Raw genomic sequence first — 26,403 nt, 5'->3', positions numbered from 1 at the left:
TCCCTCTTCTCTGGTGATTTTGAGCATCTTTTCCTGTGCTAATTTGCTATTTATATCTTCTTTGGTGAAGTGCCAGTTTAAGTCTTTGGGCTGTTTTTTGTTTGTTTCTTTGTTTTTGAGGGTTTTTTAAATTGAGTTTTTAGAATTTGTATGTATCCTAGTAACAAGCCCTTTGTCAGCTAAGTATTTTGCAAAAATTTCCTCTCAGTCTGTGACTTGTCTTTTATACTTAACAGTGTCTTTTAATGAACAGATGTTTGTAATTTTGATGAAGTCCAATTATCAACATTTTCTTTTATGATTCGTGCTTTTGTGTCCTACCAAAGAACACTGCCTTATTCAAGGTCACAAAGGCTTTCTCTTATGTTTTCTTCTAGAAGCTTTATGGTTTTTCACTCTTACATTTACATCTCTGACCCATTTTGAATTCGTTAATTTTGGTATATGGTGTGAGGTAGGGGCCAAGAATCATTCTTTAAAATATATGGAGATCTAGTTGTCACAGTCCCATTTCTTGCAAACACTATCCTTTCTCCCATTGAATTGCTTTGGTGCTTTGTTGAAATCAATTGACCGTATATGCATACATCTACTTCTGGACTCTATTTTGTTCTGTTAATCTATCTTTCATTTTTATGCCAACATTATAATGTCTTAATTGCTATTACAAGATTCAAGTAACTCATGAAATCAAGTAGTGTAAGTCCTCCAACTTTGTTCTTATTTTTCAAAATTGTTTTGGCTATTCTAGGTCCTTTCTACTTCTATATAAATTTTAGAACCAATTTCTCAATTTCTAAAAAAAAAATTCCTGGTGAAATCTTGATTTGGATTGAATTGAATCTATAGAACAATTTAGGAATAAAAGACATCTTAATGTTGAGTCTTCTCATCTATTAGCATGGTATTTCTCTACATTTATTCAGCTCTTTGTTAATTTCTCTCTCCAATGTTTAATTGTTTTCAGGTATAGGTCTTGAACATATTTTGTTAAATTTATCCCTACTTATTTCATGTTTTAAAAATGTTATTGTAAGTGGCATTTTAAAAATTTGAACTTACAATTGTTTGTTGCTAGTGTTTATAAATACAATTGACTTTTTAAATTGAGACATTATTTCTTGATTCTATAAACATGATAAGATGATCAACTATCCCATTTGTCTGGGATTGTACCATTTTTAACACTAAAAGTCCTAAAGAAGAAGCCAAAAAGTTAAAGGGAAGTAAACTCTCCCTTGGGAAGAGAAAAGTCGAGGTTTTCAGTGATTGATACAGGAGATTAGGGGAAAGGTATAAAACCCACATGGCAACCCCAGAAACAGAGGCCGAAGGCAACACTGGTTTTAGTGCCAAATGGGCACATCACCTTCCTTAGTGTCTGTTGCTGAGGACAACCACCATGATTTGTAGTACACCATAGTGGATCATCCATTATTATGTCACTCCTTGTGATGTAACTTAAGCGCGCTATAATCTTGAACGTGACCATCCACTTTGCCTGCGGATTAATTGTTGTGCTTTGTATTGAGACACTGCTAGTTTAATTTTAGCATGGTGACTACTGAGGCCATGTTTTCTTAAGCATTCAGGTGATGAAAATGAGGAAATGGTGTTGCAATATCAATGCCCGCGTGACCCAAATGGCCATGTTATTTTAACGACAGGAGGAGTGACACAGACAACTGGATGAGGGAGGTAAAGAATCAAAACAAGGGATACTGCGCAATAAGCAGAGAGAATTCGGGGTTGGGCATGGTGGAAGAAGGGACTGTAGAGACTGCCTCACAAGTCCTCAGTGAGATAGGCAAGTATGTCCACATTAACCAAAAAGCTTTTTGTCTCCACAAAAGACACCAATTGAAAATAGTGGCTGCTGAATTAGCTAGGGCAAACTACAAAAATGAATTTGTGTGATTGTGCTGCTCCTTTGATTGTTTTTTGAAACTGAGTAGGGGCACATTTCCTCATTTACAGGCTGTAACTGAAATATCACGTGGGTGAACAAAGGGAGAAATGTCGATGGCAGCTGTGTTGACCCTTTACAACATGCAGCGGATTCTGCCAGATCCCACCAACAATCATGCTTTCTACAGTAACCAAGTGCTGCATCCAATCATGGCAATGAAAAACAGTTCTCCTAACTTGTAAATACTTTGATTTGAAAAAATGGAGTTTCAAATCATCCTTTTTATTTCTATGAAGATTTTAATCCACCTGCAGAAAAAAAAAAAGAATGTTGATGCTATCTTGTCCAAATACAAACATGACTTTGCCCATCTGTCTGCCTATTTGGCAGACCGTGCAAATGTAAATTTTTGCAAATTCCATGCAGTCTATGAACGCTTTACCAAAGAAAAGTTAAAAATATTAGCCACGAAGTGTCCTGCACATTTTGTACACATCAGTAAAAAGGGGTGGAGTTTCCTTCCCTGTGATATTGATGCTTTCAAAATGAAAGCTTTTATTTACTTTTCAGTTTCCTCAAAGCATGAAAAAGCACTTAATGAGATTTTTCACATTCCAGAAATGGAAGGAGATGGCCTCCTTTGGACATGTGCCTACACGAGGGCTGTCACTGTTGCCAGGGTAAAAAGGCAGCCTGCCATACAACCATATTTTCAAAGCATGGGACAAGAAGAATGTCCTTGTCTAATTTGGAAATATATTAAGAATGAAAATAGAGAAAAAGATTATGGTTAAACAGTCAAACTGAAATTTATAAGTTCTTCCTCCAAAACTGCCTGATGATCTTTGAGGAGCCCATAAGGGCTCTGGAAAAGCATGAACTGACTGTCCCTGAGTTGTCGATGTTATAGGTAGGTACTGACAAAGCTCATATAATGAAAAATGACTCATTTTTTGGAAACGAAACCAAAATGTCACCAGAAAAGGACAGCCAATTTAAACAAGACTTTCTCACTTCTTTACTAAAACTGTAACTTATTTGGAATTCAACTTCAACTTCAACTTCACAAGTTCAAAGTATCTTTGTGCTTTAAAACTATTTTTCCTGAGAGAAACACAGACAGAGAAGGAGAGAGACAGAGAGAGGTTTAACTTACAGTGACATCCAGTGTGCTCAGAAATGTTCAAAAAGGGCCGGGTGCCATTGCTCACGCCTATAATTCCAGCACTTTGGGAGGCCGAGGTGGGTGGATCAGCTGAGGTCAGGAGTTCGAGACCAACCTGGCCAACATGGCGAACCCTGTCTCTACTAAAAATACAAAAATTAGCCAGGCGTGGTGGCACGCGCCTGTACTCCCAGCTACTTGGGAGGCTGAGGCCGGAGGATCACTTGAACCTGGGTAGTTGAGGTTGCAGTGAGCCGAGATCACGCCACTGTACTCCAGCCAGGGCGACAGAGTAAGACTCCAACTCAAAAAAAAAAAAAAAGTTCAAAAAGGATGGATATCTTAGCCATGGATATCCTACATGATAGATGCAAAAGATGACAAACTGCTGGTTTACCAAAACCAGCCTGCAGATGCAAAGTGAATGGACATCTTTGGACAGCTGGAAACGAATCCCTACAAATCTAAAACCCTGCCGTTGCTTGTAGGTACAATCCTAAGTATTCCATTCTCAAACGCTTTTGTTGAGATAGCAGCTTGAGGCCATCACATTGGACTGACCTCAGGAGTCAGTGTACTGAGGGCTCTCTAAGAGCAGAGCTGCAAGTCAAAGGATTTTCCATTTAACTATATTCAGTTTCATCACTACATCAAGGAAGAACTTCCTACTAAAGGCTGCAGGCAAGGAAATAAAAAGAGTCAAAATATCCTACTATATCATAGGACCAAAATGTCTTTTTTTTTGTAGACGGAGTCTCACTCTTGCCCAGGCTGGAGTGCGGTGGCGTGATCTTGGCTCACTGCAACCTCTACCTCCCAGGTTCAAGCAATCCTCTTGCCTCAGCCTGCTGAGTACCTGGGACTACAGGTGGGTGCCACCACGGGCGACTAATTTTTGTTTTTTTAGTAGAGACAGGGTTTCACCATGTTGGCCAGGCTGGTCTCAAACTCCTGACCTCAAGTGATCGGCCCGCTTCGGCCTCCCAAAGTGCTAGGATTACAGGCATGAGCCACCACGCCCAGCCCGTCATTGTTATTTTTGATTAAATATTAGTAATATCTGTTTAAATACTGCTGTTATATTACATTCACCATTTTAAAAGTCTTACATTTATGTATTTTGATACAAAATTTAAGTATCTAATAATGACTTAAAATAAATTGCTAAATCACAGGACAGGAAGAAACATTATAAAACTATTTTTATATTTTTCTCACACATATTATTTGTTATTAGTCCTATTATTACTAATTGCCACTGTGAACTAATCATATTGTTTTCTTTAAATAATAGCATTTATATAGAAGGTAAAAAATACACAATATGTATATTTCAAATAAGCACCATATGTGTATACTATTTATTTTTTATTTTTTAGAGACAGGGTCTCTCCCTTTGTCTTACAGGCTGGAGTACAGTGGCACCATCACAGCTCACTGCAGCCTGGACCTCCTGGGGCTCAAAGGGTCCTCCCTCCTCAGCCTCCCGAGGTAGCTGGGACTATAGGTGCAGGCCACCACGCTCGGCTAATTTTTTTTCATTTTTGTACAGACGGAGTCTCACTATGTTGGTTGCCTAGGCTGGTCTCAAACTCCTGAGCTCAAGTGATCCTCCGGCCTCAGCCTCCTGAATTGCTGGGATTACAGGCGTGGGCCACCGCTCCCGGCCTACAATAATTTTTAACATGCTATATTATGTTGGCTTTTTTTAAAATCTGGTATGGCTGTGTTCCGGGCTGGATCTCTAAAGTGTGTCGTCGAATACACAGTCTCATCTCCTGTCCGCCTAAGTCTTCTCAGCCCTAGCGCCTAAGGGCCAACTAAGACCTAAGACCCGGTCACTGCCCCCAAGAGGCTCAGTTTGGTGATGAAGCCAGACACAAAACAGACAGAGAGCAAGGTCGAAGGTGCCATGAAATAAGTCGCCCCAGGTGGCTCTGGGCGGGCCTAACCCAGGACAGGCTCTCCAGGAAGACTTCCTGGAGGAGGCGGGCCTCAGCTGGACCGCAGGCGGCCAGGAGGAGCTGGGGGTGGTGGTGGTGGGGGCGAGGGTGAAGGTGGTTGGAGATCGGGGGAGAGTGTGAAGAGGAGGACGAGGCCCGGACCTGGGCCTTTCCAGGCAGGCGGCCCAAACGGATCTACGCAGCCAGCCACCCCTCCCAGCTGGGGTCGGCGCGTCCCCCTCCAGGCCGGTGTGGGGAGAGTCTGGCCGTCTGGAGGCCCGGGGCAGCAGGACTGGGAGAGCCGCGGTCTCCTTCCTGTCCCCTGCTCCCGGCAGACCCGCGTTTCCAGGGCCCTGTCCTTTACCCGGGGCGGCCGTCCTCCCATGCCCAGCCTCTGCGAGGCCACCGCTCCCCGCAGCGCCGGTGTCACGGCCCCACGGAGGGCCAGGAGCCTCCAGGGCGCCCCAGCGGCGGGGTGGACGCTGCCAGGCGGTACCACGGCAGGGCCCGCGCCGCCCATCCCGCGCCACGCCCCCACCTCCGCCGGCACCGTTGCCAGCAGCCCGGCTGCGAGCCCGCCGGCGCCCGGCCACCCGCCCGCTGCGTCGCCTGGCAGCGCGCCTGCAGCTGAGTCAGCCTGTGAGTCAGCGCCCCCTGACCGCGCCGCGTCTGGGCCCGGGAGGGACGCAGACGGCGCGGGCGGGGAGGGGGGAGACGAGGAGGGGGAAGGCGGGAAGGACGCGGAGAGGGGCAGGGGGAAGAGGAGGGGGCGGGGCAGGCAACTCGGAGACGGGGAGAGGTGGTGGGGGAGGAGGAGGAGGAGGCAGCAACTCGGGGAGGGGATGAGGAGAGACAGGAGCAGAAGGAGGGAGGGAGGGCAAGCGGGGAGAGGTAGAGGGGAGGCTACCCAGGAACCAGCTCATGCTCAGAGTGTCTCGAAGTCAGGCCTGCACAAGGTTGCCTGAGGCTCCCAGGAGTGTGGCCTGCAGCCTGGGGCACACTGTCTTGGTGATCCAGGTTTTGGCCTATGGAAAGTCTACACTGTGGCTTAAGGTGGTCCTGTTCAAACTTTATTTCAAAAACCTCAACCCTGTATTTATCTTAAGAAGTACACTTTACATCGCAACAAGGTTCCACAAAACCATATTTCTCCCTATACAGGAATGCAGGGATGCACTCTTTACACTATCTGTTCTGGGTCTTTTTGTTGTTGGTGGTGGTTTTTGATGATGATGATGAAACACTAAACTGATTTTATGATCTATTAATAGGTTGCAACCTGCTGTATGAAGAACACCTTTGAAGGTATCAGACGTATCTGTCTTTTCTCTTAAATACAATGCACAGCAGCAGGAAAGGGCCTGCTCACCTGCTGGCCAGAGGCTTCCTGGCTCTCAGCCTCCTTGACTACTTTTTTTGAGACAGGGTCTTGCAGTGTCACCCAGGCTGGAGTGCAGTGGCGCGAACACGGCTCACTGCCGCCTCAACGTCCCAGGTGCAAGTGATCATCCTGCCTCAGCCTCCCAAGTAGCTGGGACTACCGGCATGGACCGCCACACCTGGCTAATTTTTTAATTTTTTGTAGAGATGGGGTCTCACTATGTTGTTCAAGCTGGTCTCAAAAAACTCCTGGGCTCAAGCGATCCTCCTGCCTCAGCCTCCCAAAGTGCTGGGATCCACAACTCCCAATGATTCCCAGGGACCTGAGACAGAGCCTCCATGGGCAATAAACACACCATGGTTTGTGTTTGTTTGTGTTTGGATGTGCATTGAATCCTGGTAACTGTGATTACCTGGGGTGGGAGGGCACTGGGGATGAGGGAGGACTTTTCACTGTACTTTGCTGCTGTTTGAATTTTTGTCACGTATATATTACTTAAAAATGTTTATTTAAAAGCATTTCAGACCTACAAAAAGGTGTCAGAAACAAATGTGACACACAGTCACGCTGCCTTTCTCCCCATTCCACACCCTGCAGAAATCTCTAGCTAGCTTCAGTACTTCTCTGAGGAGTGAGGAGTGGATGAAGCCTCAGAATGCTTTATTTTATATATAATTTTTTTTCCTTTTTTTTTTTTTTTGAGATGAAGTCACACAGTATTGCCCAGGCTGGTCTCAAATTCCTGGGCTCAAGCAATCCTCCTGCCTTGCTCAAGCATGAGCCAGTATGCCTGGCCAAGGAGCTGATTTCTGATCTAGGTCTTGAAATTTTTTTTCTTTTTCTTTTCTTTTCTTTCTTTTTTTTTTTTTTTTGGTAAACTTTTGTTTTAGGTTCACGGTGTATGTGCAGGTTTGTTATATAGGTAAACTTGTATCATGGGGGTTTGTGGTACAGATTATTTCATCACCCAGGTACTATGCCTAGTACCCAATTCAAATTCTTTTCTTTCTTCTTCTTCTTCTTTTTTTTTTTTTTGAGGAAGGGTCTCACTCTGTGGGCTGGCGTGCAGTGGCGCGATCTCAGCTCACTGCAACCTCTGAATCCCAGGCTCAGGTGATCCTCCCACCTCAGCCTCCTAAGTGGCACACACCACCATACCCAGCTAATTTTTCTATTTTTAATAGAGATGGGGTTTCTCCATGTTGCCCAGGCTGGTCTCGAACTCCTAGGCTCAAGCAATCCACCTGCTTTGGCCTCCCAAAGTGCTGGGATTACAGGCATGAGCCACCTTGCCCGGCCCCAATTCGGAATTCTTAACACAGTCTTCTGAGTAGTGTCACCAGTTGATCATATCAGAATTTTTGAAAGCCGTTGGCTGTCCTGTAGACTGTCCCCTCCGACATTGTCCACAGCACCAAATCTGGCCTGCAGATGGTGTGGGGCCATCTCATCAGCAGGCAGGTCTGTCCCAGGTCCTGATTCTGCCCAGGGAACTGGCAGTTCCTGAGAAGTGAGAGGTATGCAGTTACCTCTCAACACCTCTTCAGTCCGTATCCCCCAGAGCATTTAAGGTCTTTCTGGGGAAATATAACAAAAACCAAGAGTAATTAAGATGGGACTTGGACTCTGGCCTGGAGAAGATTCTAATGTAGCTGGAGAACAATACAAAGCAGCAAAAATAAGATTGCTTATGTGTTGGGTGTACGTGTTTAATTATGTAGGCCTTTGGGCATTATTTGGTCTCAGAATCCTGGGGCTTGGAAGGCCCTGGAGGAGCCTCCTCTAGGACATGGGACCTGAAAAATCTCCTAGCTGGTGGTTGCCACTGTGAATCCCTCTCTCCAGGACAGAGAAACCTGACATTATCTGGGCCCCCACATTTGATCTGGCTTGTTCTAAATCAACTCTTGAGAGCCTGCCGTATAAAGAAGAAAGTGCCCTTTGGCTCACTGGGAGTAAGAAATACAGCCGTCAGGAGAAACAGAAAGTCCGTGCCTGCTGCAGGCATCCTCCTGGTCCACAGGAAACTCCACCAGGAAAGGCAATTATTACAGAAGAGAACACTGCTTGGAGTTGTGGACACTGTTGCCTACCCAGCTTCCATTCTCCCCTTCCTTCCTAATAGCACCCCAGTTTTAGCACCCCAGTTTTGTTCAGGTATCTGCCTGTCTACACATGCTTCAGGGAAAGCTGACCCATGCTCAGCCCCTTGCCTGCAGCTCCTGAGTGGGGGTTGGGAAGCTGATTTTTCAGAGAGTGATCCCATTGCATTTGCCAACTTGTGCATGGCATTTCCTGGCCCAAGGTTTACTTCAGGAATGGGTTTGTAATCAAATTCAGCCCAGTGAAATATGAGGATAAGTTTGGAGACTTCTGGGGAAGAAACGTGCTCCTGTTCTTTAAGGAAAGAACTACCAGAAGAGCCCTCATTCTCCTCCAGAGTGGCAAGCAGATATGGGAACTGAAACTTCAAGAACCATTTGGCTATCAGGAAGGAGGCAGCCTGACAACAAAGACAGCCCCAGAAGAGGATGTGATTAAGGAAATCAGAGAGAAACAGAGCCAGGTTGCTGGATCATTCTGATCCTGAAGCCTCCATTACATCTAATCACAGACTGCTGTGGTTGGCAGAGGGGTGCATCTTTGATTGCCGCTGGGGACGAAAGCAGAGTCCCGAAAGCAGATGTCCCAGCTGGGTCCCGCACCTCTCCCTGCCATTGCCCCCTGGGTCCCACTGATGTCCTGTTTCCAGTCCAGGATCCCATTCAGAATCCAACATGGCACTTGTCTCCTCCCATGTGGGGCAGTTCCCCCGTCTTTCCTTGTCGCTGTGACACTGGCCAGCTATTTTATAGGACATTTCTCACTTTGGATTTGTCTGATGTTTTCTCAGTATTAGATTGAGGATATGCATTTTTGGCACAAATGCCAAAGAAGTGATGCTGTGCGCCTCTCAGGACACTGTCAAGGGCGGGGTGATAATATGTCTCATTACTGGTCATGGTAGCTTGGATCACTTGGTTAAAGTGGTGTCTCTGAAGTTTCTCCACTGGAAAGTTGCTATTTTCCCTTTGTAATTAATAAATGTCCTGTGGGGGAGATGCTTTATGAGTATGTAAATATCCTGTTTCTCATCATATTTTTGCCTACTCATTTTAGCATCGGTTGATGATTCCTGGCTGCAACAGTTATTACCATAGTTTTTAGCAAATGGTGATTTTCTTTGTATATCACTCTTTCTGTATTTATTGATTGGAATTCTACTGTAAAAAAGAACTCTTTCCTCCATGTGTATTTATTCCATTATTTTTATATCTGTATGAACTCTTGGATGTTTCTCTTATTCTATGGGTTATAATTCATTGCAATTATTTTTACTCAAATTGTACCAGATTTGGGATCTGTACCCGATACTGGGAGCTCCTTAGTTGGCTCCTACGTGCTCCTATGTCCTTGGACATGCCCCATCCTTCTTTGATCCCTTCCTTACATTCTGGCACAAGATGCTCCAGGCTCATCTGGTATTCTCCCTGTCTCAGCCGTGGAATCAATTGTTTCTCTAAGAACCCTGACTTGTTTTGCTGGAGGATGATATTGAGAAAGTGAGATCTGGGCACCAGTCAGATTTAACTTGGTCAAATGAAACTGCAGAACTGTGCTGACAGGCGGGACAGTGTGGGAAGGAGGGGTCAGACTGCAGGGTCCAGGTGAGGGGCAGAGGGACAGACAGACTCTGAGAGGGAGGGCAGCTTGGCCTCTCAGTCCTTGGCTGGGAGCCCCTGTGGGGAGCACGGCTTGTGGATTCAGCACTGGCAGAGCTTGCCTCTAGGGTGTACACCTGGAGGCTGCAGTTGGGAGGGAGAGGAAAAACTTTTACTTTTTAAAAATCATAGGCATCTATTATTAATACTTTAAACATTAAATAATAAAAGCAGAAAAGGTCTACTTTTCTATTTTTTTTTAACAATGTCTAAAATTTTTGTTTCCTTTTCTCCAATTGAAGAACAGTGGAGTGGACGCAGATGGACTGTCAAATAACATGGGCTCTCACTGTGCCACGCGCACTGGTGCGGTGGGTCTTTGTGCAGGGATCCAGCTGCACTCCAGGGCCCGATCATGACATCCTTAAGGCTCAGAGCCAGAGGGGCTGCAGAGACCATCTTAGGCTGGGGCTTTCAAACTCTCCTGATTGCCACCCACAGCAAAGAAAAAGTCTATTTTATACCATGACCTACCATACAGACACACATTCAACCTAAAATTTTATAGCACAGTATTCACTCTTGTTATGTGTGACACATTCAATTTTCTATTCTATGCAGGTTATTTCCTGCTAGTTTGCCATACTCTTATTGTGCAAATGGGAAACTGAGGCCCTAAAAAGGGAAATGAGTGCCCAAAGGCTGCAGCTCTCCAGGATGCATTTACTAAGGGCCTGTCAAACCATGCTACATTTTTATAGCTATGGAGAGAAACAGGTCTGAATAATAAGGGTAGACTTTTAATTTAAGTGTCAAGAGCTGGATGAAATTAGCCTATGGGTCTTAAACCAGAGTTTTCCTGCCCTTATTCAAAAGCCCCAAATTCCTGATTATGGAGGCCTTAAGCTCTTTTAAATAAATGTTTTGTCCATAATCTGTTCATCCATCCACTTACTCAGCAAATGTCCTTAGATAGTAGTAGTGGGAGAGCACGCATGCAAGGGGAAGGGCCATCAGTCACCTAGAGAGACAGACATACAAACAGCCATACCTGGGCAGGACCTGGCAGTAATGGAGATGTGCACAGAGTGGGCAGGGAAGGTGCTGAGGCAAGCGGGAATGTGACCTTTGGAAGGTTACCTTCCTGAGCTTCAGTTTCCTTCCCCATAAAAGGGGGTGGGACCTGCCTCCTTGAGTTGTAACAAGCTCTGAGAACCTCCTGGCACAGTGCTCTGCCACTGTTGGAGAAGGAAGGCTCATGCCAGCCTGGTAAGGCCAGGAGCGTCTTAGGAGAGCTTGGCGTGGAGGCCTGCAGGCCTGCAGGATGGGAGGGCCCAAGGAGCTCCTGAGAATTTGGGGGCTGGAGAAGAGTGGCTGATGACAATGACAAGGAGAGCTGGGGATGCAGAGGCCACATGATGGAGGCCTTCTGTACTTGCCACAAACTGGAGTTTAAATTTAGCCCTGTAAGCAAATGCTGTGAGTAGAGGAGTGACACGGCCAGATCTAGATCCACCACATTGACTCAAACAAGGGATTTCTGTAGCCATAAGGAAGCTGGTAATCAAAACCTGACACTGTGCAGTGCTTGGAAGACATCCTGTTAGGTGACTCAGGTATATAACAGGGGGTTAGCATCTCAAGTGAACGGCTGATAGCAAGGGAAGGCAGGCTGAGGTGGGCAGGCAGCTGCACCTCATTCCTGAGACCATCCGGGGCAGGGCTTTTCTGACTGAGACACACGACCCTGACACCAGAGAGAATTCTGTATTTCCCCACCCTTGCAGGGGCTGCCCCTAGAGAATCCCATCGGGTGAGCCCAGGAACCCACAAGTTCTGCACCCCTCGGATGGGTAGGCATTTTGAGGGCATGAGGTAGGCGTTACAGTGATAAGATACACAGGGCTCTAAACCACAGAGGCCCCGGTTCAAATCCTGCCTCTTCTAAGTACAAATTAGTTGGCTTTGGGAAGTGAGTCAACTTTGCCCCGGGCTGCAGTTTCCTCGCTGTCAAATGCATGGGAGAGGGTGTGTGAAGAGTTAAAATGTATTTAGATTTCACTGTAGTGTCTCCTCCAACATGATCTCACACTCCTTTTACAGTATAAGCAGGCTGATGTCAGAGGCTGTGACTCGCCCAGGGCTACACAGTGGACAGGTGGCAGAGCCAGGAGCCAAGGGGTGGTCCACCTGCCTCCATGAACCCACGCTCCTCCCGCTACCCCTTCTGTGGCCAGGTGAGAAGCAGGGAGCTGGCACTGCCCCAACCCAGATTCCTCAGCAGGGAGGGCCTGGCCGCCTGGGCCCAGCCTGAAACCCGGGAGTCTGTTAACCTAGGCCCAGAGGCCAGAGTGCGCGGCGGTGATGAGTCACGCCAACCCGCTGCACCAGGAGACCCCTCTTCCCGGCCCACGCCCCGGCCGAGAGCTGGTTGCTGAGCAATAAGACATAACATATATAAATAGATGCGACTCCTGCTGTAACAGGGAGGCCCGATTCTTGGGCTGCTGTTTTTTCCTTGCCTCTCCTCTGCGCCCCTCGGCCTTCCTCCCAGCGGCTCCTGGTGCAGTCGGTTCCATCCTCAGCTAAGAGCTCCCAGCCCTGCGTGCCAGGGGACTGCCTTCAACAGGATGGTCCGGGATGGACGCGGGCTGGGCGTAGCTGCGCAGGGCAGGCCAGGGGCGTGGAAGGAGGCAGGGGCGCTCCGCCGGGCTGGACTTTTACCACCCGCGGGGGCTAGGCGAGGGCGGTGAAGCGGGCAGGACTGCGGGACACTGGATCAGAAGGGGCGGGTGGAGCCAGCTCCTGCGACTGGCGGGAGTGCGCCCGGTTCCCAGCAGCAGAGGGGCCTCTGCTGCCCTGCTCCCCATTCCCCTCATAAGTGACTCCTCCAAAGGGCACTTTTCTTATTCCACCTTGCATCACTGGTACTCACCTTCGCTGCAGAACGCCTTGCCAGCTTGCTTCCTGGCTGGGCCTGCTGTCTGCACAGTTGCCCTGCCCAGGTCTAAGACCGTGGGGCGTGGTCACAGGTACTATTTTAGGACTCCTCTCACCACAGGCACTGAACTTGGGGCTGCATATATATCACCCCATTACTCCTCAGAAGATACTGTAACGTAGGTATCTTTTATTGGCTGTATTGAGGCTTAATGCATCCATTTTAGGTGTACAATTTGATGAGTTTTGACAAAAGTATAGTCTTGTAACCACAATCACGATGTTCATGACACAGAATATTCCCATCACCCCAGGAAGAAGTTCCTGCCTCTTTGCAGACCATCCTCCCCTCTTGGCCCCTGGCTATATGTTTTGCCTTCACTAGAATTTCATATAAATGAAATTTATGTAAGATGTAATTTTTGTCTGGCTTCTTTCACTGAGCACAGTGCTTCTGAAATTCGTTCATGTCATCAGTGGTTTGCTCTTTTCTCTGCTAACCAGTTGATGAATATTTAGGTTGTTTATGACTATTATGAATAAAGCGTGTAGAAACATACATGTACAATTATTTGTGTGAACGTGTTTTCATTTCTCCTGAGGAAATACCTAACACTGGAATTGCTGTTTCATTAAGTTATTGTTATTCCCATTTTATAGATAAAAGATTGAAGCTCAAAGAGGTGAAGCAGCTTGCCTGAGCTCACACAGCATGGCAAAAATTCAAAGCCATGTCTGAGCTCTACACCAGGTAGTCACTTGTACAAAAAAGGTAATTTTTGGAGTCAAAGGTCCTTGATTGGTAGATAAATTACCACATATGGGCTGAATTCCACTGTATTCTGGTTTGTAGCTTGTGGAAATAGACACTGAGCCCAAGTTGCTGAGCACTACACGCAGAGAGGTCACTCTTTGAAGGCATTTCAGCAGGTGACTTCTGGGAGCTTAGGCTGCAGGTCTGCAAGGTTTTTGTTAGTGTTGTGAAGGTAGTGTTGGCCAGGTTTCTCCACTGTAAAGTCATGATTACTCCACTATAATTACTAAATTGAGAGGAGAGACATTGAGACTAAGAATCCGATTCATTGAGCTTTCACCCACTAGTTTCAATACCCAGCGTGAATTCCTAACTCCTTTCCTTTCCCATTTACTAGTTGTATTATTCTGTTAGGGAGAGCTTTTCCTTCTTCCTCAGTTATGTTTATATAACTATGTCCTCAAGGATTTTATTCTATGGAATCTAATCCATTACCATCATTGTTTTAATGTTTGATGTGTTCCAACTTTGGCCAGAAGCAGTCTCATTAAACTGACTTCTATGTCCTTTTAACGTGCTCCTGTGATTCTCTGAGCACTTCCTTACTCTCAGGTATAAGATATTCCAAGCTCTTGCTCTTCTCCTGTACCAGCCCTGGTCCCTTTTAGTAGAGAATGACATTTAGAAACCAAGATCTGGGTGTGAGATGAACTTCTGGGTACTGGGATGTCACAGCTTCTACGCCACCTCAGTCTGCAGGTTTTTAAGGCAGCAAGTGAGGTGAAAGGCAGGGCCATGAGATTGGAGTTGTAAGCTACGGACTCAGCAAAATCAGGCTGCTGGTGGTAGGATGTCTATAACAAGTGCAGTGAGCTCACTCATGGGCTCACAGGGTGGTGGAACTGGGCAGTCAGTCCAACCAGGCAGTGGTTTCTCCACTCAGAAACACCTCTGTAGGCCGGGCACGGTGACTCACGCCTGTAATCCCAGCACTTTGGGAGGCTGAGGCAGGCAGATCACCTGAGGTCAGGAGTTCAAGACCAGCCTGGCCAACATGGCAAAAAACTCTGTCTCTACTAAAAATACAAAAATTAGCTAGGCGTGGTGGCATGCACCTGTAATCCCAGCTACTTGGGAGGCTGAGGCAGGAGAATCACTTGAACCCGGGAGGCGGAGGTTGCAGTGAGCCAAAATTGTGCCACTGCACTCCAGCCTGGGCAACAGAGTGAGACTCTGCCTCAAAAAAAAAAAAAAAAAAAAAGAAAGAAAGAAAGAAAGAAACACCTTTGTAAATTTTACACATTTATAAATCTTTCAGCTCTTTCTGCCTTGCTGTAAATTACTTCCATGACAGAGGACCTGGGAGGCTGGTTTTCTAGGATGGTGGGAGGGTCAGGGACAGTGTGGGGGACACATGGAGAAGGGTGGCCTCAGGGGCTTCACATTGTGGACTGCCACGGTGATGGGAAACTTCACAGATCTCTCTTGGCAGACACTCTGCTGTCCTCAAGGCTGATCAGCTGGCTGGCTTGGGAGAGAGCCAATGACTGGAGGGGACCTCAGGAATCAGAGGTGGTGACTCATAGTGGGAGGCCACAGTCTCAGAGTCTGGTTCTCTGAAAAGAACCACGCCTTCCGATGGTGTTTGGCACCTTCCATTCTGAAGGGCCTGCTGGCTCTGGGGTCCACCGGGGCTGAGGCAGTCCTGGGCCTGTTGTGGGCAGTGGGTGGGAACAAGTGCCATCTATCTCCAGTGGCTTTCATGTGCGTCACCCTGCTGGCCTCCACCACAATCTTGGGAGCAGGATGCCTTTTTTTGTCTTCCAGACATTGAGGCTGAGAAGAGCAGGCACAGGTCTCCGCCGACTCTCGTGTTCTTCACAGTGCAGCCTGGCCAGAGTTACCTGGCCCAGCTGGCAGCCGGCGTGTGAGGCCACAGGGAGCCTGCTCTCTGAAACTGAGCAGCCTTGGCAGTCTGGAGGGCCCAGGGGACAGTGGCATTCTGCTTCTCAGGACAGACTCTGTGCAGCTGAGCTTCAGCCAGGCTAGCCTATGGTGAAGAACCAATGCCAACCTTTGTGACTTGACTTGCAGGAAGCAGTTGGGGAAGGATCTACATCGCACTGGGTCGAGGCATATGCTGAGCTGTGAGGATGAAGATAACTACCTCCTCACTCATTTCTGCAACATGGACCCCCTGGATGGTGCACTGAGAGGGCTTAGCATCCTCCAAACCGCCCAGAGAGGGGCTCAGAGGGCTTGGATGAAGGAAGCCTGTGGTGTCAAGGATGGCAAGGCTGATCTTGGAGGCAGAGGGGCAGCTGAAATTGGCAAGACAGGGAGTGGTGCCCTGGTGCATTAGGCAGTGGGGAGGGGCTCTGGGATGGGCATTTGGGAGGTACCATGGAACAGAGTGAGGGAGAGCCTGTCAGGTGGTTCTGAGGTCCTCTCTGGCTGCTCCATTAAGTGTCCTTGGGGCCTGGTGACAGCCACCTGACCTTTCTCTGCCACTTTTTCCTTATATGTGAATTGAAAATTATGGGAAGACAATAAGATAATTAAACAGGAGAAAGGGAAGAAACAGACAATTCTCTTCTTGCTGTCAAGACAAAGACACTGGAAGTAAGGAGTGGACCATCAGACCATTAGGGGGATGCTGCAGTGGTGGAGAACATAAGTAGGCTCCCAGCAAATAGCCAACTTCCGAAAAATGGGTTATCCTTGTTAGCAATTTGGCATTTTTTTAAAAAAAATTTATCAATAAATAATAACTTTTATTTTGAGAAAGAGTCTCACTCTGGTGCCCGGACTGGAGTACAGTGGCACAATCACAGCTCACTGCAACCTCTGCCTCCCAGGCCCAGGCTTTTTTTTTTTTTTTTTTTTTTTTTTTTGTAGAGACAGGGTTTTACCATGTTGCCCAGGCTGGTCTCCAACTCTATAGCTCAAGCAATCCGCCTGCCTCGACCTCCCAAAGTACTGGAATTACAGGCATGAGCCACTGTGCCCAGACAATACATAATAATTGTACATATTTATCAGGTACATGTGATATTTTGATACATGCATACAATGTGCAATGACCAAATCAGGGTATTTAGGATATCTACCGCTTTGAACATTTATCATTTCTTTTTGTTAGAAACTTTCAGAACTTTTATTCTAACCATTTCAATATATATATTATTGTTAACTATAGTCACCCTACTGTGCTATCAAACACCAGAACTTACTCCTTCTATTTAATTGTATGTTTGTACCCATTAACCAACCTCTCTTTTTTCCCTCGTCCTCCTCACCGCTCACCCTTCCCAGCCTCTGGTAACTATCATTCTACTCTCTACCTCCATGAGATCAAATGTTTTATTAGCTCCACATATCAGTGAGAACATACAATATTTTTCCTTCTGTGCCTTGAGTATTTCACTTAACATAATGATCATCCGTGTTGCTACAAATAACAAGATTTCATTGTTTTCAATGGCTTCATAGTATTCCATTGTGTATATATACCACATTTTCTTTTCTTTTTTTTTTTTTGAGACGGAGTCTCGCTCTGTCGCCCAGGCTGGAGTCCAGTGGTGTGAACTTGGCTCACTGCAAGCTCTGCCTCCCGGGTTCACGCCATTCTCCTGCCTCAGCCTCCCGAGTAGCTGGGACTACAGGCACCCGCCACAATGCCTGGCTAATTTTTTTGTATTTTTAGTAGAGTCGGGGTTTCACCGTGTTAGCCAGGATGGTCTCGATCTCCTGACCTTGTGATCCGCCCACCTCAGCCTCCCAAAGTGCTTGGATTACAGGCGTGAGCCACCGCGCCCGGCCCACATTTTCTTTACTCATTCAACTCTTGATGAACACTTGGGTGATTCCATATCTTGGCTATTGTGAATAGTGCTGCAATAAACATGGGAATGCAGCTATCCCTTTGATATACTGATTTCCTTTATTTTGGATAAATACCCAGTAGTGAGATTGCTGGATCATATGGTAGTTCCATTTTGAGTCTTTTGAGAAATCTCCATACTGTTTTCCACAGTGGTTGTACTAATTTACATTCTACCAACAGTGTATAAGAGTTTCCTTTTCCGGCTGGGCGTGGTGGCTCACGCCTGTAATCCCAGCACTTTGGGAGGCTGAGGTGGGTGGATCACCAGGTCAGGAGATCGAGACCATCCTGGCCAACATGGTGAAACCCCGTCTCTACTAAAAGTACAAAAATTAGCTGGGCATGGTGGCACGTGCCTGTAATCCCAGCTACTCAGGAGGCTGAGGCAGGAGAATTTGCTTGAACCTGGGAGGCGGAGGTTGCAGTGAGCTGAGATTGTGCCATTGCACTCCAGCCTGGACAACAGAGCGAGACTTCAACTCAAAAAAAAAAAAAAAAAAAAGCCTACAAAAATTAGCCAGGGATGGTGGCACACACCTGTAATCCCAGCTACCTGGGAGGCTAAGGTGAGAGAATCACTTGAACCTGGGAGGTGAGGGTTGCAGTGAGCCGAGATGACACTACTGCACTCCAGCCTGGGTGACAAAGCGACACCCTGTCTCAAAAAAAAAAAAAAAAAGAAAAAAGAAACTACTTATGCCATGTGAAGTGAAAACTGTAAGATACAAAATTGCATGTATAGGACAGATCACAACTATTAATACCTAAGAACGATTTAAAAACGTATCTAAAAATAAAAAAATACCAGCACAACAAAGATTTACGAATAGAGAAAAAATTGAATAGAAACAGAACTATAGAAGGAATGAGCTTTTTCTTTTCCTCCTGTTTTCCATATTTTCTATTATAAATATGTGTAACAATGGAAAATATATAACAAACATAATGTTAAAGTAAGAAGTTAATGTACTAGCAACTGATGGATAAAAGAATTAGAGCTGATCAAGATCACAGAGAATTCAAGACAACTGTCTGTTAGAAATCTTGTCACATTGCCTCTTTCCACACTTAGAAAACTTTGTGGGCATTCCACACAGCAGAAATCCCAGAAATAACTTTTGTTTGGCTGTGGCAGCACTGTGAACTTTTAAAAATCAGATTTACTAATGTTTTGCTTCTTGTAACAGTGAAGTGGCCCTGGGGATAATCATAATAGATTTGTGGAACATCATTTATATATGGGGTAGGCCCTACAGTCCACTCTGGTCCCCCAAGTCTTGCCTCTCCATGAGCTTCTCAGAGCCAACACAGTTGGCTGCTAGGCAACAACCATCCATCTCTCAGCTCCTTTGTAACCTAATCCGGCTTCTGCTTAGATATAGCCAGGCAGTGTGCCCAGCCCCCGGTGGTCCTCGTGTGGGCTGAACCCATCATGGTGATCCTGACTTCTATGCATGCATAACCATGTGACCCAACTCCAGCCAACAAGATACTATTAGCAGTCAGTTCAGCTACCAGGGACAGTCATTTACATCTCCCATGAGAAACTACACAGCCCTGTGGTCCAGATTAGGGAGGGGATTCTGCTCCCAGAGCCACCATTCCTGTGTATGCCCCATGTCCTGACTCTCCAAGATGGCCTGCAAGTACTCCAGTGTGGGAGGAAGGGACGAGGAAAGATGTAAAAGCAGTAGTCTCTTAAGAAAGGGACTCTCAGTGAAGGTCCCTGGATGGACACACTTCAGTTGACTTCCCTTTTGCCATTACTTAGTCACCTGGTCACATTTAGCTGCAAGGGAGGCTAGGGAATGAACTCTTTATTATGAGAGTCCTATATGCTCAGATAAAATTTGATTACAATGGGAAGAGGAGAATGAATTTGGGGGCACAATTAGCAGACATTGCTGCAAAAACAAAATGGGTAGTCTTCTGGGAGGCTGATGGGAAACACTATTTTTTTTTTTTTGAGACAGAGTTTCACTCTTGTTGCCCAGGCTAGAGTGCAATGGCATGATCTCAGCTCACTGCAACCTCCGCCTCCCAGGTTCAAGCAATTCTCCTACCTCAGCCTCCTGAGTAGCTGGGATTACAGGCATATGCCACCATGCCCAGCCAATTTTTTGCATTTTTAGTAGAGATGGGGTTTCTCCATATTGGTCAGGCTGGTCTTGAACTCCTGACCTCAGGTGATCCACCTGCCTCGGCCTCCCAAAGTGCTGGGATTACAGGTGTGAGCCACTGCGCCTGGCCCTGGAAATACTATCCTTAATGAAAAGAGAATCCTTAGCACACCTAGCACCAGATATTGGTCTCTAACACCATTCTCCAACAAAAGAAACCAGGGCCCTTTGGAAAAATGGCTGATTCTAGACTGGGACAGGAAATATTCAAGATGATTTTGGAGCGCTGGCAGTGCCAGAAAGCAAAGAAGTGCTGAAAAAGGAAAAAAAAAATCATAATGATGGGTGTCAAAGGGACACAGGAGACAAATCAAAGAGCTACCAATGGCCAAACCCAGAATAATTAGAGCAACAAAATAAGTAATGTAGTATTAGATTATAACCCAGAGCATAAGTTATATACCCACAATTCTATATTAATATAAATAAAAGATTACATAAGTAAACAGGAGAGAAGAGACAGATCTCACATGCAGAAGAATTCCTAGTAATTTATGCAGATACTTCACACACAAGGAGGTGGAGCATAGCTCCCCACTCCTTAGGTGTGGGCTGAGCATAGTGACTTCCTTGCAAAGAGTATAGTATGGAAAGAGGTGAATAAAGAGTAGCTTTATGGGGGAGAAACCTGACAAACACTATCTCAGGCAGGTGATCAAGCTCAACACCAAGTCATAAATCATACTGACAGTATATACCTGCTATGGTTTGAATATGTCCCCCAAAGGTCATGTTTTGGAAACTTGATCCCCAATGCAACAATGTTAGGAGGTAGGACCTTTAAGAGGTGTTTAAGTTATGATTAAGTTATGAGGGGAGAGCCGTCATGAATGGATTAATGTCATTATCTAGGGTGGGCACCTTATAAAAGGATGAGTTTGACTCTTCTTGCTCTTTCTCTCATCTTCTCTTTGCCCTTCCCCCACAGGATGACACAGCAAGAAGGTTCTTGCCAGATGTGGGCCCCTCAATCTTGGACTTCCCAGCCTTCAGAACTGTGAGAGATAAATTTCTGTTCATTACACATTACCCAGTCTGTGGTATTTTGTTACAGGGCACAAAATGGACTAAGACAATGGACTACCTTTGATAGGATGTGATAAAGATGGCACTTTACTTCAGTGGTCTCCTTCCCCAGAACCCATAACCTCAGTGTCATCATGAGAAAAACATTACATGATTCACAATTGAAGAATATTCTACCAAACACCTAACCAGTATTCCTTAGCACAAGGCCATCAAAAACAAGGGAACTCACAGCCAAGAGAAGCCTAAGGAGACGTGATGACTAAGCATAGTGTGGGCTCCTGGAACACAAAAAGGGCATTAGGAAAAAACTGAGGACATCTGAATAAAGTATGGACTTCAGTTAATGACAATGCATCAATATTGGTTCACTAGTTATGACAAATGTACTATACTAATAATACAAGTTCGTAATAATAGGTGTATTAGTCTGTTCTCACATTGCTATAAAGAACTACCTAAGACTGGGTAATTTAAGAGGAAAAGAGGTTTAATTGACTCACAGTTACACAGGCTGTACAGAAAGCAAGGCTGGGAGGCCTCAGGAAACTTCAATCATGATGGAAAGTGAGGGGGAAGCAGGCACATCTTACCATGGCAGAGCAGGAGAGAGAAACATCAAAGGGGGAAGTGCTGCACACTTTTAAACAACCAGATCTTGTGAGAATTCACTTGCTATCACAAGAACAGCAAGGGGGAAATCTACCCCCATGAGCCAATCACCTCCACCAAGGCCCCTCCTCCAACACTGGGAATTACAATTTGACATGAGATTGGGTGGCCATACAAAGCCAAACCATATCAATAGGAGAAAATGAATGCTGAATGTGGGTATAGGAGAAGTCTCTGTACTATTGTCTCAGTTTTTCTGTAAACCTAAAACTGTTCTTGTAAACAAAAAATAAAATTCTAAGGCCCCCAACCACCTGAATAGACCCCTCCTCTTGGCCAAGGGCACTCCAATGTTAACCTGAAAAACCTAGTTCAGGCTGTGAAGGAAAGGGGGAGCTGGACATGCCTCATTCTACCCTCTTCCCTTTTGGAATTTCTGACAGAACAGACTCTTTAAGTTCAATAAGAAACATGTACAATCTATTGTCTCTGAAGCCTGCTATCTGGAGGCTTCATCCACATGATAAAACCTTGGTCTCCATAACCCCTTACGGTAACCCAGAAATTATCTTCTATTGATAGTAACTCTTTCAACCAATTGCCAATCAGAAAATCTTTGAATCCATCTATGAGTTGGAAGCCCCCACTTCCAGTTGTCCTGACTTTCTGAACCAATGTACACTTTACATGTATTGCTTGATGCTTCATGTCTCCCTAAAATGTATAAAACCAAGCTGTAATCTGGCCACCTTGGGCACATGTTCTCATGATCTCCTGAGGGCTGTATCACAGGCCATGGTCACTCATACTTGGCTCAGAACAAATCTCTTCAAATATTTTATAGAGTTTGACTCTTTCGTCAACATTCTAAAATAAAAAGTTTATTTTAAAAAAGAATGAGGGAAAGAAACAGAGGGATGGTTCCCCCTTCTTTACTGTGTGGGAGGTCATGTTTGGAGCTGAGGTGGCCGTCCATTGATTCTCAATATGCCTGTTCACAGCCCTAACCAACCTTGGATCCATCCACTGGATTTTTGTTATGTGACAAAATCAACCTCACTGTTTAAGCTGTTTTGGGCCAGGTGTCTTGCTCGCTGCAGTTGAATGCATCCCAACCAATAGTACTCGTATCATTTTCATGGCCACAGCTGTGGTTTAGACCTTTAGACTTTCATCTCCCTTCCCAGCAATTTGGCCTGCTCTAATATTCCTCCTTCCCAATCTCCTGGCAGCTCTCTTCCTTCTCTAGCTTCACCCCCTGCCTGCATTTCTCTCAACACCCAGTGGCCAGCAACTCTTGCCATTCCTAGGCAGGGCACGTTCCCTCATACTTCCAAGCTTGGACACACTTGATTCCCTCTGCCTGGAATGCGTACTCCTCCATCCTTATTTCTTCCAGCAAATAACTACCCCCGTTCAAGTTTCAGTTGCCAGCCATGGCACAATATGTGGCCAGCAAGATTCTAAGATGTCCCTGCAGATCCCTGACGGCTGGTGTACATAGCCTGCATAACCCTCAGTACTGTGAATATAATGGATTATACTCCTATGATCAGGTTATGTTATGTGACACTGTTGATGTTAAGAATAGATTATCTCAGTGGGCCTGATCTAATCATATGAACTCTCTAAAAGCCGGGTGCAGTGGCTCATGCCTGTAATCCCAGCACTTTGGGAGGCTAAGGTGGGCAAATCACGAGGTCAGGGGTCCGAGACCAGCCTGACCAACATGGTGAAAACCTGTCTCTACTAAAAATACAAAACTTAGCTGGGCGTGGGGGTGGGTGCCTGTAATCCCAGCTACTCAGGAGGCTGAGGCAGGAGAATCACTTGAACCTGGGAGGCGGAGGTTGTAGTGAGCCGAGATTGCGCCATTGCACTCCATCCTGGGCGACAGAGTGAGACTCTGTCTCAAAAATAAAAAAATAAATAAAAATAAAAGCAGAGAGTTTTCTCTGGCTGGTAGCAAAAGAGGAAGTTAGAGAGAGATCTGATGTAGGAGGATGTTTGGCACGCAAGAAGGTCTCTGTCGCTGGCTTTCAAGATGGAAGGGGTCATGTGGCAAGGAATGCAGGTGACCTCTAGGAACTGAAGGCAGGCCCAGGAAATAGGGATGTCAATCCTACAACCACAGGAAACTGAATTGTGCCCCAAAGAAGAATGAGCTTGGAAGATCTTTGCAAGGGCCTCTAGATAAAAAGTCAGCCCAGCTGATACCTTGATTTCAGCCTTGCAATATACCCTGAGTAGAGAACTCAGCCTTGCCCCTGTGCAAACTTCTGATCTGTATAACTGGGAGCTAAAAAACAGACACTGTTTTAAGTCACTAAGTTTGTGGCAGTTTGTTATGCAGCAACAGAAAAGGAACATGCCACATTTCCTCTCTGAAGTCATCTCTCACTTCCCCAGACACACCTGTGACATCTTCCTCTTGCTGCTGTGGTGCCTGATACACATCCCTCCCATGATGCAGGTCACAGTGTGTTATCATTATCCATTTACCTGTCTGCCTTCCTCACAGGATTCTGAGTTCCTGGGCAGTGGGGACTATATAATTTTATCACTGCAATCCCAGGCACAGAGTAGGAAGGCAAAAAAATATTCATTGAATGATGGTTTCATCAATAAAAAAATCCCAATATCACTAATTTGTAATCATATATACTAAAATAACCAAAGATGTCAGAGATTTAATATCTAAGCAAGAGGAAAAGTCACCAATATAAAAGGAGAATGGCGAAAAAGAAAGAATAGCTACTATAACTATACCCACGGGATGTTTCTGAGGAACCCAGAGGTGAATGAAGTCCCCGGGGTGGTAAGTGAGGGAAGGGAGTGGAGAAATGAGCAGCACTATGAGGGGAAAAAATTTATCTCTAGATTACTTAGTAAACAAACACGTTTTTATTGAATGCCTGCTATGTGGTGACCCAGTAACTGTGGAGAACAATATAGATATTTAAGATTTAAATACTATCCTCCGGCGTTCTGAGACCCTCCTTTCTGTGGCATACAGGTCTTAGAATGTTAGATTCAAGAAGGTCTTAGATTTATGCATAAGTCCCCCATTTTTTAAACAAATAGAAGCAAACTGATTTTCCACTGACCTCTGTGTTTCTGAGGTGCACATCCTTGTTCCTGTGACTTTGACACCTCTGTTAATGGGTCTGTAATAAAAATTCCTGGAAGAAACCCAGAGATATTTTGACATTACACAACAGTTTCTCCCTCAGTCTCTGCCCCACAAGTGCCAGCTCCCTTGACCCTCAGAGCCCAAGTTGGGTAGCTCCTTACCTCTGGTTCGGGTGAGTCCCATTCCCATCTCTCTCATTTCAACTGCTCCAGTGGAAATGTGGTCTGGAATATGCATGAAAGGGGTGGATCCAGAATGTACGAAGAAACCAAGAAGAAGCTGAACAGGGAAGAATGGTACAGGAAGTTGTAAGGGGTATTTAAGGAAAGGAGAAGAGATGGGGCGGAAAGGTGCTTTCTGGATCAAAGTAGGGTGAAAACGTCGGGATGCAGGTTAGTCACACCACGGAGGGCCTCACCACTAGTCTGATTAATTTGCATTTTATCCTGTGGGAGATGAGGAGCGAAAGAAAGGGTTTTAGACTCTAGCTTTGGGGGTGGGGTGTCAACTCATGTCTCTGGGCTTAAGTTTCCACATCTGTTAAGCTGGAGAAGTAATACTTGCTGGGCTAACCAATGTACACAACCAGTCATAACCAAGTATCGATGGTGATAAGAACTAAACAGAAAACACAAATAACACTTAGCCAGTCTCCAAGGGGGTGGTTTAAGGTTAGGTGGCAAGCCTGAAGTAATTTCTAAAGTCCCTCAGGAAAAAAATTCTGAAACTTGAGCCACAAATTAAGAGGCAGACGGCTTTTCTCCTTGCAAATGACCTGCCACACAGTCCGTCACTGCCTCTGCTAGCTCTGCTACCCTTGGGCCCTGTCCACAGCCCACGTGGGAGACCTTTTCACGGGATCTACTCGGATGTCTGGGATCTGGCCACTACCGCAGGCTCGAGACAACCCAGGTGCGTATGCGCCGCGCACACGGAACAGCACAGGCTGCCCCGGGGCAGGGGCGGGGGCGGGGCCGAGGCCGGGGCGGAGCCAGGACTGGGAATCCCCGCGCCGTCCGGCCGGTGGGGGCGGTGGCCTGTGTGTGGGCGTGGCGGGCCTCTGCGCAGGCGCCGACCCACTCCCCTGGGCCGGGCGCGCGCCCGCGGCGGGTTCCGCTACCGCCGGGCGGAGGGGTGCGCGCGCACGAGCGAGCGGCCGTGACGTGCGCCGCGCTACGCCCGACGTCACGGGTCCGTGTGTAGTGGCTGCCGGGCTGCCTGCCCTCAGCGGCGGCGCCTGACGAGGGTGCCGCGGCCGCTGGGCGCAGCGTTCGGGGGTTGCACGGCCCGCGGCGGCGACGAAAACAACGACCAGGACGCTCGGCGCCCCTGTCCGCAGAGTCGCCACTCCCGCCTCTTCTCCGGTCTCTAGCGACGCGGGCCCGCGGCTTCCTCCTTTCCTGCCCAGTTCCCGCGGGCCTCGGGGTTGCAGCGGCTAGAAGTGCCGAGGAGCGCCAGGAGGACCCGGCCGGCTGCGAGGATTCACGCGCCCGCCACCCCGCCCGGCCCGGGCTTCATGTGAAAGAGGGACGGGCCTGGCCCCAAGGCCCGCGCCCGACTCCTCGCGCGCCCCTCCGGTCCCCGGGGGCCCTGCGGCAGCCCCCGACCTGGGGCCGCGGTGACAGGCCGCGCTGGGGCGGAGGGGCGGGCTCGGCGGGGGCGGCCCCTCCTTGGGCCTGCGGCTCTCTACGTCCCTGCGGAGCAGCCGGTACGTGCGTGTGTGCGTGCGCGCGCGCTTGTGTGTGTGTGTGTGTGTGTGTGCGCGCGTGTGTG

The 26,403-nt window shown here is 46.9% G+C and overlaps 2 protein-coding genes and 1 long non-coding RNA gene across 10 annotated transcripts in view, besides 5 other annotated features; 2 read left to right on the top strand and 1 right to left on the bottom strand.

Moving 5' to 3' along the window:
* Positions 2,576-2,625: an enhancer, noted in NCBI's record as "active region_16487". NCBI's record gives its function as "activates an Ori minimal core promoter by ATAC-STARR-seq in GM12878 lymphoblastoid cells {active_cell/tissue: GM12878}" and the evidence as "EXISTENCE:reporter gene assay evidence [ECO:0000049][PMID:35858748]".
* Positions 2,766-2,965: an enhancer, noted in NCBI's record as "active region_16486". NCBI's record gives its function as "activates an Ori minimal core promoter by ATAC-STARR-seq in GM12878 lymphoblastoid cells {active_cell/tissue: GM12878}" and the evidence as "EXISTENCE:reporter gene assay evidence [ECO:0000049][PMID:35858748]".
* LOC124908047 (translation initiation factor IF-2-like) lies at positions 3,436-9,686 on the top strand. Its single transcript, XM_047446883.1, has 3 exons — positions 3,436-3,494; positions 5,031-5,656; positions 6,289-9,686. Exons 1-3 carry the CDS (start codon positions 3,436-3,438, stop codon positions 6,318-6,320), a joined length of 717 nt encoding a protein of 238 aa, XP_047302839.1. The 3' UTR covers positions 6,321-9,686.
* Positions 5,343-5,782: a silencer, noted in NCBI's record as "silent region_11932". NCBI's record gives its function as "represses an Ori minimal core promoter by ATAC-STARR-seq in GM12878 lymphoblastoid cells {active_cell/tissue: GM12878}" and the evidence as "EXISTENCE:reporter gene assay evidence [ECO:0000049][PMID:35858748]".
* Positions 12,600-13,312: an enhancer, noted in NCBI's record as "H3K27ac-H3K4me1 hESC enhancer chr2:128158054-128158766 (GRCh37/hg19 assembly coordinates)". NCBI's record gives its function as "activates a minimal SCP1, AML or CMV promoter by ChIP-STARR-seq in naive H9 embryonic stem cells {active_cell/tissue: H9 hESC(naive)}" and the evidence as "EXISTENCE:reporter gene assay evidence [ECO:0000049][PMID:30033119]".
* On the bottom strand, positions 13,210-26,352 carry MAP3K2-DT (MAP3K2 divergent transcript). 6 transcript variants are annotated; one of them, NR_187129.1, is made up of 4 exons: positions 26,238-26,352; positions 24,792-24,909; positions 24,605-24,679; positions 13,210-15,843 (listed from the first exon to the last, which is right to left on the bottom strand). It is a non-coding gene; the product is annotated as an MAP3K2 divergent transcript (long non-coding RNA). The 6 variants fall into 6 exon arrangements; NR_187125.1 differs by lacking the exon at positions 26,238-26,352 and adding an exon at positions 25,406-25,573; NR_187127.1 differs by lacking the exon at positions 26,238-26,352 and adding an exon at positions 25,479-25,573.
* Positions 25,325-26,403, top strand: part of MAP3K2 (mitogen-activated protein kinase kinase kinase 2) — an 89,798-nt gene continuing 88,719 nt past the window's right edge. For 2 of the 3 annotated variants that reach the window (NM_001371910.2, XM_047442990.1), the window contains exon 1: positions 25,815-26,338. The gene's annotated coding sequence lies outside the window, so the exon portion shown is untranslated. Of the gene's footprint in view, positions 25,543-25,814; positions 26,339-26,403 lie in introns of those variants that run through there. The other variant, NM_001371911.1, reaches the window with a different exon arrangement.
* Positions 25,526-26,395: a silencer, noted in NCBI's record as "silent region_11931". NCBI's record gives its function as "represses an Ori minimal core promoter by ATAC-STARR-seq in GM12878 lymphoblastoid cells {active_cell/tissue: GM12878}" and the evidence as "EXISTENCE:reporter gene assay evidence [ECO:0000049][PMID:35858748]".

The sequence above is a fragment of the Homo sapiens genome, chromosome 2 (assembly GCF_000001405.40).
Source record: "Homo sapiens chromosome 2, GRCh38.p14 Primary Assembly".
Classification (NCBI taxonomy): Eukaryota; Metazoa; Chordata; class Mammalia; order Primates; family Hominidae; genus Homo; species Homo sapiens.
The sequence above is the reverse complement of the archived record's forward strand: the minus strand, read 5'-3'. Positions and strand labels throughout refer to the sequence as shown.

What these genes read in the sequence shown, in the direction of transcription:
- LOC124908047 (XM_047446883.1), top strand. Translation starts at nt 3,436, where the DNA reads ATGATAGATGCAAAAGATGACAAACTGCTGGTTTACCAAAACCAGCCT. An exon ending in AACCAGCCTGCAGATGCAAA is followed by an intron (nt 3,495 to 5,030) that starts GTGAATGGACAT and finishes GGCCTAACCCAG; the next exon opens with GACAGGCTCTCCAGGAAGAC. An exon ending in GCCTGCAGCTGAGTCAGCCT is followed by an intron (nt 5,657 to 6,288) that starts GTGAGTCAGCGC and finishes ATCTATTAATAG; the next exon opens with GTTGCAACCTGCTGTATGAA.